Raw genomic sequence first — 15,745 nt, forward strand, 5'->3', positions numbered from 1 at the left:
GCTCTTCCCGATCTGGCTTCTGTTCCCTCACTCCCAGCCTTGCCACCTCATCTTCCCTCCCTTGCTTTTCCTTTGTCTCTAGCCCCAATGAACTCACATGCCAAGGCCTTTGCATGCCGCATTCCCTCGGCCTGGATGTCTTTTCCAGGCCTTCTCTCCTGGCATACACTCATTCAACTGGGCTGTCCCCACCTCCAGGAAGCCACACCAGATAGCAGTCCTCAGGGGCAGAATAGGCCTGAGGGGCCCGCAGAGGGTGTCCTTGGGGATTGTGTGATGTGTGTGTTGGTGAAGGGAGACCCTACAAGCATTTGTTGAGGGGCTTTGGGCCTCTGAGGAGCCACAGCCCCTTTTCATCTTCCTCTCAGTCTGGGAGGCCCAGGCCAGAGTGATCTGCACCCTAACTATACAAGGCCCTGGAATCCCCGTCCCACCCGCGGCAAGGGGCTGGAAGCCACAGGGCCTTAAACTCCCCAGGGTGACCCCCGACACTGAAGGCGATGGTCTCTGCTCTTCCCAGCAAGGCAGGGCCTCTTTACACTGGGTGTCGCGCCGTCTGAGTTCCTGACTTGTTTACCCATCCCGTTGGGGCTCCGGCCGCTGCAGGCTACCTGCTGTGCCCGGGATTGGGGACCTGTGACTCCCGAGTGGAAGAGATGGTGGCCCAGGAGGAGGACCCCGACCTATTCAGACTGGGAGCTGGGGTCAGAGTGTCTCCGTCTCCGGAGGGGGACCTTCCAGACCCCGGGCGGGAGGGGCCCACAGCAGGGTGCCCCGGCGGCCCCAGGAGGGGGTCCGGGCCTCGGGCGAAGGCTGCGGCGCCCCGGAAGGAGCCGCGCACGCCCCTGCACGCGGTGCCCGCTGCGGAGGCCACGGATCCGGAGGTGAGAGCGCCCCCGCCCCGCTCCCTGCCCAGCCCGCGCGCGGCCCGGTCCGGGGCTGGGGGCGGGCGCCAAGAGGGGCGCCGGGCGCAGTGGGGCGGCCCCCTCCCTTTTCCGCAGCGCGGGCCCCGCTCCTCCTCCCGCGTCCAGGCCCGCGGCCGCGCTCCCTGTCCCTCCGCAGCGGGATGCGGACTCCGAGCCCGGGCGGGGGCCGAGGGCCGAGGCCTGGCGGGCCTGGCGGGGGCCCCGGCGGGTGGCGGCGCAAGGGCCGGGACCGAGGCCGCGAGCGCGCCCCTCCCGGCGGCCGGGCGCGGAGAGGCGGGGAGGGCGGGCGTGGGGAGGCGGGCGGCGGCGGGCGGGGGGAGCCAAGGAGGCTCGGAGCCTCGCGGCGCGCGGGCGGGCGGCGGAGGGGGCGCGGGGAGCCCCCCGCCCCACGAAGGAGGAGTCTGGCTCCCACTTGCAGCCTCGGACGCGCGGCGAGGCGGCCGCCGCCGGAGGAGCCCCCGCCCCTGCGCGCCTCCCTCCCGGGAGCCCCTGCCTCCCTCGGTGCGCGCTGCTGCTCGCAGCCGCCGCGGCCGCCGAAGAGGAGCCCGGGGCCAGGTAGGACCGGAGGCGGGCGGGGCGCGGCGGGCGCGGGCGGGAGGCCGGGCGCGGGGCGCGGCCGGGACCCTCTCCAGGCGCTGGGCGACGCCCGCGGCGCTGCGCAGGGGCGCCCGCAAAGTTACTTTGGCCGCCTTTGCCGGGTGCGGGAAGCGGGCTGGGCACCCCAGCTGCCCCGCCTGCCTAGCGGGCGGCGGCGGGAGGGGGCTCCGCCAGGGCGCGGGACTCCGGCTGGGGCCGCGGGGTCAGCGAAACTTTTCCCTTGCTCGCCAGTCGCTGCTGCTGCTGGCGGAGTAGCTGGTGGAAGCAGCGGGCTGGTGGAGTGCCAGTGATGATGATAGTGGTAACAATAGCAGCCCCCGCTTGTAGAGAGCCTACTGTGTGCGCTGCCAAGCCCCTGCTGGCACTTGGGGGGGAAGAGATAGGGAACGAACGCTGGCCGAGTGGCCACTTTTGCTAGGTATTGCTGGAAACTTCATCCATTTCCTTCCATCCATTCATCCCTCCCTCCCATCCATCCATCCATCCATCCATCCATCCATCCACTCACTCAACACATATTTATTCCTGTCTGCTATGTGCTCGGCCAGGGGATTCAGTGGCTACCTAGACAGGTCCCAGCCCTCAAAGGGAATGTTGATCATGGAATGCCCAAACTAAGGAGCAGTTCTGTCTCCTGTGTGTTTGTTCTGGGACATGTTACGGGAGCGTGAATTCATGCTGTCTCCCTTCACCCTGGCAGGGCCAGAGGCGTGTCATTCAGAGCACTGATGTGCCCAGGAGTCTGGCAGGCCCCGGCCTGGCCTTCGGAACTCACCCTGCTCCTTTCCCTCCCACCTCTCCGGGCTCAAGCTGGGTGGCCCAGTTGGTGTCAGGAGGCTCCACTCCGGAACTGGCCCCCACCCCTGTCCAGCTGACCTCTCTGGGATGTCTCTTCCCCAGTGCTGGGCTGGCCTGGCTCCCAGCTCCCCTCCCAGAGTTTCTTTGCCTTCCCCCTCCCCATTTCCCCTGCTCTATTGAATGGCCCAGAGGAGAGCTTGTTAAGTGGCAAACAATTATGAAATTAAACTGGGGGAACAAAAGTGGGCTGGCTGTTGAATGGCGGAGCTGGCTCACGGGAGTTGAATGGCACTGGGAGACTTGTTAGCAGGGATCTGCGGCGCCGGGGGGCGGGGGCGGGTCAGGCAGACAGGCACTGTCAATAATCTGACTGGACTTTGCAAAAAAAAAAAAAAAATTAAACCAACTTGGTGAGAAACCTGGCACAGGGCGATGTTGGAGAGGCCACCAGCTGACTGCCACGTCCAGTCGGAAGCCAGATCTTGGTGTACAGGAGCCAGGGCTCTAAGAGACTATTTGGGGAGGGTGCTGATGGATTCGGCCGGGCTGAGGCAGGGGAGAACCTCAATGCGTTTGAGCTTGTGGTGCTAGGGAGGCATTCTGGAGCCAGGCGCAGTCTGCAGGGGCCCTCTGTGTGGGAACCACGCATGATAAACTGCGCTTCACCGTGCTGGGCTCCTTGCAAATTGGCTTTCTGAGTGGCAGCCCCACAACACTTGTAAAATCTTTTTCTGGAGATGGATTTCGGTGGAATGGTTCCATCGATTCTAGTGCTTGCTCACTGGAGGTACATTAATTGGGCGATGGCTAGTCAAAAGGCGATAATCCAGTCACGGAGGCTTAATCGTGTGTTCGGAAGTGTTTCAGTGTGGGACTGCCTTCCTATTTATTTCTCGGCCCCAGGAATTTCGGAAGACCTGGATTGAATGAGGTCCCTGTACTGGTGATGTGGATGGGTTCAGAGAGTCACCTACATGGCCGAGGAGGTACCTCTGATGTAACCACCCCGTGGTACGCTTAGAATCACTCACATCCACCCTGGCTGATGCCCCGTGGGCTATGCCTGTAGACAGATAGGACAGGTTTAGATCTAGGCGAACAATAAGAATTTTAGGGTGTTTTACTTGAGCCCCAACTGTCAGGAATACACAGACTGATGTAGGGAATCATCGTTCTTGAAAAGCCTGCTTTTAATAAATTCCCAGCTCACCCATGAGACTCTTAAATCTTCATCCAATGAATGTGGCTTAAGTTCATTTGTTCTTCTTTGAACTTTGCTACCTTCCCAACTAGGCAGTACGGGCCTTGGTATGCTCACTTTATACAGGACACATCTCTCTCTGCTTGTTTGAGGAATGACGGTGGTCGCTGGGATTCCGTGAAGGGCAGCATTAAGGAGAAAAATCAGCATTCTGGGTGCGGGTCTGGACTTCTGGAAAAAAAGAAAACCCTCCCCAAAGTGCAATCATCTTTTAGTCTATCAAAATGACTTCATTTTCCCAATTTCAGGCCTGTGAACTGATCATGAATACCGGGGGCAGAGGAAATTAATCAGCCAGGCAAAGACTTTTAACAAGTAAATATTATGCACAGAAAAACATGCAATTAGTGGAGGTTAGTTAATGCCTTTCAAGTTGCATCAGGCTGCAGTTAAGGGTGGAATTTCTGCGTTATCCCTGGATTGTCTGTCAAAGTCTTTAATGTGACAATGTGACATGTCTCTCCCATCGCCCCTCCCTCACCGGGAACAAAAAAGGGTCTTTTCACGAATTCCCCCTTTCCATTCTTCTTCTCCCTGAGATCTTTCCGTTCAGCAATAAGTACCTTTGTCTGCCTGCCCTTCTGGAGCAAGGGTCCTGGGGCAAAGGGCTCCCCAGGTGCAGAGGCCTGGGAATAGCTTCTCAGGCTCCCTCCGTACCCACAGATCAAAGTCGATGGCACCTCCGATAAGAGGTAGGGGCCTTCCTTCTGGCCTGGGCGCCTCACCCTCTAGGACCAGAAGTGTCCAACACTTGGGGGTGGCAGGGAGAAGAGGGGATGAAGGCACTGTTTCCCACAGCAAGAACCGTTTAATGTAGCCTGGGGCACTCCGAAAGCCATTCCCTGCAGCCCTCGTTCTTGCTGTGTGGATGTCCCCATGTAATGAGACCATCAGTGAGCATCCCTTCCAGACTGCCACTGAAGTTGTCTGACTTGAGTTTGAAGAGGTGACTAAAATGTCAAAAGCAAAAAAAAAAAAAAAAAAAAAAGGAAAGAAACAAAAAACCCAACAGGAAAAAAATAAGAGACCCCTTTTTGGGGGTGGTATTGGAGGAAAGGTATAAATTGCTTCTCAGTTAATTTGATTCACCATGGTTCTCCCTGGTGACCTGACAGGTCTGCTGCCAACACAAATGTTTTACTTTATTTTGACTTTTTTCCCCCTAATGAGACAAGACTTAGTTATACTTTATTTCCACTTAAAATATCTGTGACCAATGAGGGCAGCCCAATTTCATAAAAAAATCATAACAAATTGAGATTATAGGTATTAATTTTGAAATCAAATTGTGATTTGAGGTGTTCCGTGGCCTTTTCAGGCCTTTTCATGAATTACTCTGTGGGGGATTTTCTTGGACCTGAACTTGGCCAGCTTAATGTCAGAACCAGGTCATCATCATAAATAGAAGCAGCTGCGGGAAAAAATAAATAAATAAAATTCTCCCTTCTGGTTGACTCTGCTCTGCATCCAGTTCAAAGCCAGGGATGAGTAGGCTCCTCTTTCCACCACCCCAATCTACACCTGAAAGTTTGTTTCTATAAAATGTGACTTGTCTGTTGCCCACTTTCGCATTCCCGTCTCCTCCTTCCAAGAAGGATGTGAGGCTCAGCGTTGATGCACACGAAGAGACTTTTGGCATCGCCCAGGCTAATTTCATCACTTCAAGGAGAAAATGATGCCTGCTTCCAATTTCTAACACTCTCATCGTTTCCCCTTCATTTCATTCTTTTGCATTTTCCGGACAGTGCTGCAGTCTGCAAGCCTGCAAAATATATTGCACTGGCTACCTGAGAAATGTAATCCCTTCCTGCAACCTGCCTTTCCCTTCTTCCTGACAAAGCGCTTTTTAGTGTTTCAGTGTTCACAGAAGAGGCAAAGGTTCTCTCCCCTAACCCTTTTTCTGCCCTGGGTTCCCTGCACAATGCAGTGGTTGGGGGCTGGTGAGAATGGAGTTTTGCATTTGTAAGTTTGTCATTCAGGCACGTTAGTTAATTGATCATACTTGGGAGGTTTCATCCTTAATTGCAAATTCCTGCACCATCACAAAACATACACTTGAACTGATCATAAAAATGGCAAAACCCCAATATCAGACTTAAGTGTAGAATTGCCATAGTGCTGATTTGATTATGCTTCAGTGACATCTGTTTAATAGATTTCCACAAGAACTGTAAATCCACATTTACTTTCTTTGCAAATTGTATTTGAATCCTGAGCAACCACAGCCCTCTAGCCTCTTCCCCTCCCTAGCCATGTATGTGCTAAACCCCCATTCCTGTTGAGTGTGACTTGATATATAAGCGGGAAGGGGACACGATGCTGAGTTTTACACATTTACCTCCTATTTCCTTTTGTGTGTGGATATGTCTGTGTGCATGTTTGAAACAGATCTGAACAGCTTCCCATTTCAACTCCATAGATACGTGACTCTCCAAGTGCTTTATTTTGAAAACTAGGACGTAGCACTTTGCAGAAGAAAAATCAGTCCACTTGCTATTATTTATGTGATCGCTGATCTGCTAGATGGATATAGAAAGCACCAAGAATTATAATAATTTATGGAGTAGAGCACTGGTTTACAAACATATTTCTCTGCCCGAGCTTTGTGTGTTTCTTTGCGTCTCGGGGCTCGTTCTGTGCAATGGGAATGGAGAATATTCAGAATTTGAAGACAAGCCCGGCGAGCCGACTGCATTCATAGCTAAAATTAAAGGAATAAGTGAGCAGCTATTTGTGGCAGACAGGACATGATCCAGTAAGTAGCACTCTTCATATTCCGAAATAAAAGTACATAATTGGAAAATGAAGCGGCAGAGACTGCTGGGGGGTGGCGGTGGTGAGGAATTAGAAAGTGTAATTTAAAATCATGTAGTCATAATTCAAAATGGGCCCAGCTAAAAGGTTTTTAAGTGGTAAATGCTTTAAAGTCACTGTGGTTGATCCTTTTGCAAGGAATAGGGGCTAATTTTCACTTTATTTGTGGATTCCTTCATCTACTGAACTCATCAGCTTATTCAGCTTAGCTGATAATACCAGCTGCTGGCCAGTGTTTCTTTTCCTTGGGATCCCACACTTGATTGGGAAGGAGATCAAACACAAAGGTCTGTCATTTTAGGACATGGTGGGACGAGGTCTGATTTTTTTTCTCCCATTGGGGTATTTGCTTCTTTTCCTTTGAGTCCCTCTGCTTTTTTTTTTTTTTTTCCTTTTATGGCATTTTCTACTATGGGCTCATCAATTGCATATTTTCAAGCAGAGGCAAAACAAGGAAAGAAAATATGATTTAAAAGTGATTTTTGAGCTTGTGTGGGAATTGTCGCTTGTAAAACAATTCTCCCCAGACCCCCACACCTTGGTACTTTTCTGTTAAATATTATCTCCTGCATTTTGCTTGCAGGGACCACTTAGGAAGGGTTAGTGTGGTTTCTCTGTGACATTTCGCCACATTGCAACAAAAGCCCTAGTAAGCACTGCCTTTGCTGAGCCAAGCCGGCTTTTTCTCTGCATCGCCCTGAGCCACCGGCCTGAAGACAGGCAGCTGCACTTTTGGCTGTCCCATCAGAGAGGCTGGGGCTATTCAGTCGCTCCTACTCTCAGTTAAAGGCCCCAAGAGGAGACGGAGCCAAGGTGCGTCTAGGATCCTGGTGAAAGCTTTCCAAGGTGGGGTTCCTCAGAACGCCGCAGCGGGGATGGCTGTTGGGGGAGATGTTTCTCTGGAAGCTTCTCATGCTTAATAAGACAGTCGTTTCTGTGTGCTCATTGACTGTCATCCGAGTTTTGGACCCAGGACAGCACCATATTATGCTAGCCCCCCAGTGATTGTTAAAGAGCTGCCGATGAATGGAAGAGAAACACAGGTGTGTTCTGGGGATGGCTGCCTTACCGGCCTGGCACTGGCTTTGATCAGAGTGACCTTTTCCTTCCAAACGAGAGCACTTTCGAGAGCCGGAGAGGATGCTGGTAATAGTGGCACAGGGACAGCAGATGTGAACTGGGGCTGTCCTGGGCCTGCGCTGAGTTTGAGAGGCCTGTGTTGGCTGGAAGTGATGCTTCAAGTCACACGGTGAAGCAAAATCTATCTTTGGTCTGCAGGGCAGCAGCTCCTCTGGTAGTGCAATCCTCCAAGATCTTCCTCACACATCTTCGGACAGAGAGGGGCCACCAGAATGATCCAAGCATCTCTTTTGCAAACATTCATCTGCTGCTGAGATGCTCTGTGTGAGCCAAGGCCTCTCTCTCTCTCCTTCCTGGGCCTTCAGCACACACTGGCTGGCCTCGCTGTTTGGTGGGGGCCTTCTTAGGGGCCCACAGACCCCCTCCACTGCAACTCCTCAAAATAGAGTTCTGAGGAGGTCTGTTTTCTGCCTGGCTGGTTCGCCGGGTCTGAGCCCTTGGAGGGCTAGTTTCGTGTCTGGGTCCTGTGGCTCCCAGAACAGGATCTGGCCCAGAGCAGGAGCAGCAGTGGGTGCGTTGGGGCTGACCAGTGCCCTGCAGTGTCCAGATGGGGGTGGTGGTGAAGAATTTGCCTAGAAAAACGTGTCAAGGGTGGGTTGTAGTGGACGTGTCCAGCCACAACTCCCTGGGAAGTCAAAGCCTCAGAGTCTTACTCGGTGGGGCGAGAAGGAAGGGGCCAGGCACCATGGGCTTTCAGGCAGGAGAGGAGGGGTTGCTTGAAAATCCCTTCTGCATTCTTGAAATTTCCCTGGGGAGCTTCTGAGTTCATCAGAACTTTCTAACTAGAGGGGAAGAGACATGGAGTGAGCACCTCCTGTGTGCTAGGCCCTGGCAGGGGCTTTTGAATCTCCTGTGTCCTTCAGTGCTCCAGCAGCCCAGGAAGGAAGGATTGAGAATCCACATGTTTGTAGGTGAAAAACTAAGATTAAGGGGGGCAAAGCTGCTTTTGAGTCCTGCTGTCAGACTCAAAGGCCTGTGTAGTTTCTCTCATTCATTCATTCACATATCATTTTATTCTTTGGCGTTTCATTCAGTTCAGATAAAAAGCCGACTGTGTGTTGGGAGTTTTGTTACAGGAAGCCTTGGGGGCTGTGGGTGGAGGCTCCTGACCCAGCCAGGGGAGGTCAGGGAAGGTGTTTCTGAGGCTCTGAGCTTTCTGAGACTGAGTGGGCTTGTGTCAGGAAACGAGGGTGAACGCAGGGGTGGGGTTGGGTGCAGGGCCTTCTGGACAGAGGGAATAGCATTCGTGGAGGCTTCAAGGCAGGACCCCCTCTGTGCCAGGGAAAGCCTGCATGACTGAGCCGGGCCTGAGAAGTGGGAGTGGGGCTGGGGCCAGGTGCAGCCTCCTGAGCTGACCTGAGGTGCTGAGTTCACCTGAGGGCGGCAGCTGCTCTAGAGGGTGCTGGGTGTGCCAGAGGGAATGGCACGGGCAGAGGTGAGTTCTAGGACATTCCTTCGGGAGGCCGGTGTGGTGTGACCATGGTGATGGGGGGTCAAGACCGCCAGGAGACCAGACAAGTTTGGGGGTGGGGGGTGGTCAGAGAGAGGCACAGAGAGGTGGGTCCTGGAGTCGGACCTCTTTCCTAGACACCAGCTTTCCATACAGTTGGCGTCAAATGGGACCTGCTCCTTGGTGTCTTGGCTGACACCCAGGTTCTCCTTGGAGCACCCTGGCCTCACTGGACTCACAGTACCCAAGGAACAACAAATAAATGTCTCTGAGAGGAAAACGGAAAGAGAAACCATCTGATAAGAGAATCAGACTTTGGAAAAGCAAGCCCTTAGAACCAGAGGGAATTTTTCAAGGAGTGCTGGGCTGCGGGGACCTGGAGTCTCCCACTCTGGGTTCACTGGGCCTTTATGGGCAGGTACAAGGTTTGTTCCAGCCCCTCTGTAACCCCTCAAGGGGACCACTGAAGAAGTGGAAACAGAGAGGTTGAGTGACTTTCCCAGTGTCCTACCGCTCAGCAGCCTGAGATGGAATTTAATGGGAACCCTTCTTTCTCTGACTTCAGAGTCCAGGCTGTCCTCCATGGCAGAAGCATGCCAGTGACCCATGACAACGAAAGAGTGAGGCCACTTATCCAGGCCGCCCAGGCCTCAGGGACTTAGCACTTCCCCTCCCTCTGCCCAGGTTCTCATTCCCCAGGTCGGGGTGTCATTGGTGTGTGAGGTGATGCCGCTTCAGATAGACATTTTTTTTTTTTTTGAGATGGAGTCTCACTCTGTTACCCAGGCTGGAGTGCAGTGGCACGATCTCGGCTGAATGCAACCTCCACCTCCCCGGTTCATGTGATTCTTCTACCTCACCCTCCCGAGTAGCTGGGATTACAGGCGCCCACCACCACGCCTGGCTGTTTGTATTTTTAGTAGAGACAGGGTTTCTCCATGTTGGTCAGGCTGGTCTCGAACTCCCGACCTCAGGTGATCCTCCCGCCTCGGCGTCCCAAAGTGCTGGGATTGCAGGTGTGAGCCACCATGCCCAGCCCAGATAGACCTTTCTTGATCACCCAATTTAGTCAAACCATCACCCTGTTCTGTCTTTTTCCAGGTACTGATTATTAGCTGAAAGTGTCTTTTCTGTTTAATTCTTTGTTTACTTTATTGTCCCCCCTCCACCCCGTCCCATGTTCCTCAAGGGCAGGAGCCTCTTTGTTTTTCCATTGCCCTTTCTGGCACCTGGAACAGGGAGAGCATGTAGGGCCTTGGCTAATGGTTGTTGAATAAGTCATGCGTTCATTCATTCATTCCATCCATCCATCCTCCCCCGTAGTTCCATTTTGGGGAGGCATCTGCAGCCCCATCAGGATGCATGACTTGCTTAAGGTCACTCCGCTGGACTGAGAGCCAGGCTGGGAGCCCAGGCGGTCTCCCTGCGGCGGGTCCCGGGGCACCACTGCATCGCTCGCGTGCTGTGCTGTTTTGAGGACCGGGTGTAAACGCTTCCTAGCTCAAAGCTGTTTGTTTGGGAGATGCTGCGCCTCCTCCGTGGATCGGCTGCACGGCGGAGAATGCTCGCCTCCTCGCACGGTGGCTAACGTGCTGCTGCGGCTCCATAAATATTAAATGGGCATTAAAAGAAGCCGTTGCGTTTCCAGTTTCCCGGATTTCTCTGAGCAGGGCCCGTTGCGAACCCCCTTTATGTGAAATGCAGCATTTCAGCGCGGAGCGCCTCCGGGAGCCTTGCCGCCTGCCTTTCCCGGCTGAGTCCCTTTGGTGCAGAGCGGTTCTCCCTCGACTGCAGGCTGTCTGCATGCTAGCGCCTGCTCCTCTGGGGCAAAGACGGGTGGGGGCCCCTGGAACCCCTTTTCACAAGGGCTGTGCCAGCCTGGCAGCCTCCTTGCTGGATATGCAAGGTGGGTAAGATGGAGAGGGGGCAGTGACTCTTCGGTCTTCAGCTAAGCTCTCCTGACACCCACCCTCTGCCAAGCCTCTGCTGGGCACCAGGCAAAGTCTCCAGACATTCTGTATGTCCTTCTGTCCCCTCATCGTCTCTGCATCCATGCCTCCATCCATCCGTTTCTCCCTCCCTGCCTCCATCCATCCACTAATACTACTGATGAAGTATTTGTGATAGGCCGTGGGGTGATCATGTTATAACAATAATATTAGCTAACATTTATTGACCACTTACTGTCTGCTAGGCTCTGTGATCAGCAGCTTACATGTGTCATCTCATTGAATATTCATGACTCTACAAGGTAGGGACTGTTTTTCTTTCCATTTTGTAGAAGAGGAAACAGAGCTTCTGGAGGTTCAGCCGCTTGCTCAGGGTCACAGAGCTGCTGGGGGCCGGAGCTGACACATGGGGTGCACAAGGGGGGAGCCCGACCCTGCCCTCAGGGGACATCCGGGCTCTTCCTGGGACCCTGAAATGAAGGCCCCAGATCCAGGCCTCTCCGAGGAGACCCCGGCATTGCTGAGAGGAAGGGTGTCAGCTTCAGCCAGCGGGAGAGGAGGGCAGAGGCGGAAGCCAGGCAGCTAGGTCTGGGGGCCCAGCCCTGCCACCTACTCTCTGTGCAATGAGACGTCACTTCTGTGGGATGTACCCTTGATCATTTGTCAAACATGAGACATGGGCATCAATATCTGTCTCTTAGTGGTGAGCATTACAGAGGAAGACTCTCAAAAAGTGTTGGACTTGTGTGGCTCTGAACAAGAGCATGGCCCCTGTGAGCTGTAGGCCTCCAGGTGCAAGAGGCCACCGGGGGCCGGCCTGTGTGGCTCAAGTAGAGGCCAGACCAGTCGTAGGGCCAGACCATGCAGGGTCTTATGGTCAAGGGATTTTATCAGAGAAGCCACCGCAAGGATTTCAAGTAGAGATGTGATGTGGTCAGCTTGCATTTGAGAAATATTTGAGTTCTCCAGGGCCTGTCTGGCACCCCTTGCTCCTGGAACTGGCCCCTTGGTTCGCACTTGACACCCTCGTACCAAGGGTGTCCAGTACTCAGGCAGCACCTGCTGACAGCAGCTCCTCAATATGCAAGGATCAAATTGAGCAGAATAGTGACTGTGACCATCACAGCTGAGGTGAGCCGGCGCCTGGGACCCACCAGGCATTGTACTCAGGATTCCTGCTTACTTCTTCATTTAACCTGCACAACCCCCAGGAGGTGGCATTGCTACTATCAAATCTTTTCTTTCTTTTTTTTGAGATAGAGTCTCAAGGCTGGAGTGCAGTGGCGCTGTCTCGGCTCACTGCAACCTCTGCCTTCTGGGTTCAAGCAATTCTCCTGCCTCACCCTCTCAAGTAGCTGGGATTACAGGTGTGCACCACAGTGCCCGGCTAATTTTTGTGTTTTTAGTGGAGAGGGGGTTTCACTATGTTGGCCAGGCTGGTCTCAAACTCTTGACCTCAGGTGATCCGCCCGTCTCAGCCTCCCGAAGTGCTGGGATTACGGGTGTGAGCCACTGCACCGGGCCTCAAATCCATCTTCTAGAAGAGGAAGCTGGAGGCTCAGGGAAGTTAGGAAGTTGGCTTAAGGTCACACAGCAAGTCAGCCATGCTGGGGCTTGACCCCCGTCCAGATCTGGGCGGGCCTGGCTCAGAGTATGCGGCGTCCTGAAACTTGGCATCTGGTGCCCTGAGCCCTTTCCCAGGCCTTCTGGGTGCCGGGCAGCAGTTACAGACAAGAGGGGTGCAGGCCCCTGCTCCCCCACCTACAGTTCTGTTGCGTAGCACCTGCAGGGAGAGCCAATTCACTTTGAAACAACCCACAGGACAAAACAATGGCGCAAGTGTGTCCCCAGGAAAAGGGAGATTTTTTTCCCCCTTGTCTCTGCAGGTGGAGAAGAGGGATATGTTTTGGGAATCAGGAAGTGTCTTTAGAGGTCTGTGGGAGAAGGAGGATATTGCTATTTATTTCACCTTCTAGGGAGATGATCAAGATTTAAAAAAATTAATAACCCATTTCTCCTTTGCACATAATTAAAATGTTCTCCAGTCTCTAATTTTTGTCTTTTTCCTAATCTAATTTGTTTTCTGACTGTGTCGATTCTTCTTCCAAGCGCAAAGCAAAGGGGATTTTTCTTCATTTAATGTGATTGCGATATGAGTGTCCAGGAATAGTTTAAATGATGTTATTTTCTCCTTGGTTAAATACAGCGCAAAAGGAATCGTTGGAGGGTCTTAATGACCCAAACTGAAAACAACGACAAAAAGTCTTCAAGGCATTTCCCATTTACACAGTTTAAAAAATAATTATGAAAAGGAACAAGACAACTCAATGGTCTGACTAACGAGGCGTCGGCCATTGTGCTGTGTGTTGGGGTAGGATGGGGCCTCACCTGGGGCCTGCATTTCCAAGTTTCTACAGAGTTCTACACTGACCCCAAGGTGGGGTCGGTTGGAGGGATATTTAAGTCCAGTAAATATAAATGCAAACTGCACTTCCCCGTGAAAAAGATTTGAAAAATATTGCAGCATTCTCAAGCTGCAATTCAAAGATTGACGGGGCACATTAGGGTTCCCGAGATCCTTACGAGAGAGATGGTAGTGAGGCATCGGAGGAGGTTTTTGCAAAAGGTTCCTCCTCCCTCACCATCTCTGCCCCTACCTGCACTACCATCCCTGAGCCAGTGGGTATGTGACCATCTATGTCTGGGAAAATCCCTTCTCAGGGCACCACTAAAAGATATCTTTAGATGAAATCGATGTCGAGGGAGGAATTTTCGCCCGTGCTGTCTCCACCTGCTCAGGCTTGCAGGGGTGTGGGCGTGGGGCCATGTGGGTGTGTTTGGGGGTCTGTGGAGGATGGGGGAGGGTTGTAGGAGAATCCTTCCTGTTCCCCAATTCTGAAAAGTAAAACTTAACTCACCTGTTTACAAAATACCAGCCATTGTCTTACCCCAGCTCACTGTCACCCTGTAGGCTCGGGAGGATTTTGTTGAAGGAAAAAAAAAATGTCTTAAGTATTTAAACACGTTGAGCCATGCATGCATCCGTCCACAGTGCTGTGGGTTGTTTTTTTTTCTTTTTTTTCTTGTCCCCTCCCTCCCTTCCCTTTTCTTTTTACCAAAGTATATTCATCAAACTGCTGAGTTGGAAAGATTTGTAATGAGTTTTTGAGCTGTACGACTGTGTTTTTTTTTCCTCTCCCCCCGCCCTCTCCCTCTTTCTAAATCTTCATCTGACATTAAATAAAGCAAATCCCAAACAGATTAACTGTCGCACGGTTCTGCTCCGTCTCCTCAGTCTGTTTCCAGGTCTGGCGGGGGGCCGGGCTGCGGTGGCGGCAGCGGTGGGAGATGCCGGGGCGGCCGGCGGAGGTCCATGTGGCGCTCTAGGTGGGATGCCAGCGTCCTGAAGGCGGAGGCCCTGGCCCTCCTCCCCTGCGGCCTGGGCATGGCATTCTCCCAGTCCCACGTGATGGCCGCTCGGCGGCACCAGCACAGCCGGCTCATCATCGAGGTGGACGAGTACAGCTCCAACCCCACCCAGGCCTTCACCTTCTACAACATCAACCAGGGCCGCTTCCAGCCACCGCATGTGCAGATGTAAGTGGGACCGGTGGGGTGGGGGTGGGGGCGGTGACGGCCCCCTGGGGTGGGTGCATGGTCTCGGGTGCCTCCTGGTTCTGGGGGCACTGTAACAAGCATTGAATGTTTGTTGACTGCAACAATTCTGGAATTCTAGGATCATCGGGGCTCTGAGTTGGGAGGGACCGGCAAGAAGTTGCAGATGGATGGCCTGTGGGCCGATTCTGGCCGCAGTCCTGTTTCACTTGGCCAGGAGCATGTTTTACAAATATTTAAAGATGAGGTGGATGCACAGAAAACTCCAGACTTCTGGCTTCACTTTATAAAACCCAAAGGCCTGGAAACCCCAGGCCCACATGTCCTCCTGGCAGCGTCTGGCGGGGGCCACATTCCCGATCCCTTTCTTGGCATTTGGGTGGCGACCCCTGGTCTGATTTACGCTCCTCATTGTACACATGGGGAGACCGAGCCCCAGAGAGGGGAAGGGGCTCGCCACAAGCCCCATGGCAGGTTAGGACACCAGTCTTGGGCTCTTTGTTTCCCCTCCCTGCCCTTCCTTTTGTCCAGACCCTGTGCTTCTCTTGTGAAAGCAGAGATGCTTTTCCAAAAGGACTGGGGGATTCTGTTGTCTGCCCCTCGGGGCATTGGGGGTGCTCAAGCAGTGAGGCCCTGGGGAGCACACAGACTCAAGGCCCCCGTGAGCAGCAGGAGGACTTGTCCTGATGCCTGTGTGCGGGGCCAGCCTTTCCCTCTCTGGATTTCCCGAGGACCTGGAAAGCTGTGGGTAGCTTGGGGTGGCTCCAGAGGTGGTCGAGCTCCTGGCCCTGCTCTGGGTGGTTCCCTGAGTTCCTGGAGCCCCCCTCCTCCTTTATCCCCATTGCTTCTCCCATGAGCCCTGCACGACAGAGCTTACCTGGTGAGGAACCAGGGGCCCAGGCCCGTGAGGTGCCCCACCCTGCTGGCAGATGCCAGAGCTGGAGTTGAACCCAGGCTTCCTGAGTCCAGCCCGGGGCTCTCCTTGCTGGGCCTCCCGCATCCTCAGGCTGTGATGTGTGTGGATGTTCATGCTTCTGCTTGAGAGCGGAGGCCATTGTCCCCTTGGCTGTTGTACCTTCACCCGGCCACTCTGGGTGCCCACCCCCAAGCTGGGTCTGGATGAGGGATGACCCCTGCAGAGCAGGGAGGTGACAGCACAGGGAGGGGGGAGCTATGACAGGGGCTGATCCAGTGC

At 53.7% G+C, this 15,745-nt stretch overlaps 1 protein-coding gene across 2 annotated transcripts in view; it reads left to right on the forward strand.

Moving 5' to 3' along the window:
- The first annotated feature begins 1,336 nt into the window (after window positions 1-1,336).
- MPPED1 (metallophosphoesterase domain containing 1) overlaps window positions 1,337-15,745 on the forward strand; it is a 95,835-nt gene continuing 81,426 nt past the window's right edge. The window contains exons 1-2 of one of the 2 annotated variants that reach the window (NM_001044370.2): window positions 1,337-1,481; window positions 14,231-14,532. In NM_001044370.2, coding sequence (NP_001037835.1) covers window positions 14,309-14,532 — 224 coding nt within the window. In that variant the 5' untranslated portion in view covers window positions 1,337-1,481; window positions 14,231-14,308. Of the gene's footprint in view, window positions 1,482-5,874; window positions 6,338-14,230; window positions 14,533-15,745 lie in introns of those variants that run through there. The other variant, NM_001362786.2, reaches the window with a different exon arrangement.

This window comes from Homo sapiens, chromosome 22, assembly GCF_000001405.40.
Source record: "Homo sapiens chromosome 22, GRCh38.p14 Primary Assembly".
NCBI classification, from domain to species: domain Eukaryota; kingdom Metazoa; phylum Chordata; class Mammalia; order Primates; family Hominidae; genus Homo; species Homo sapiens.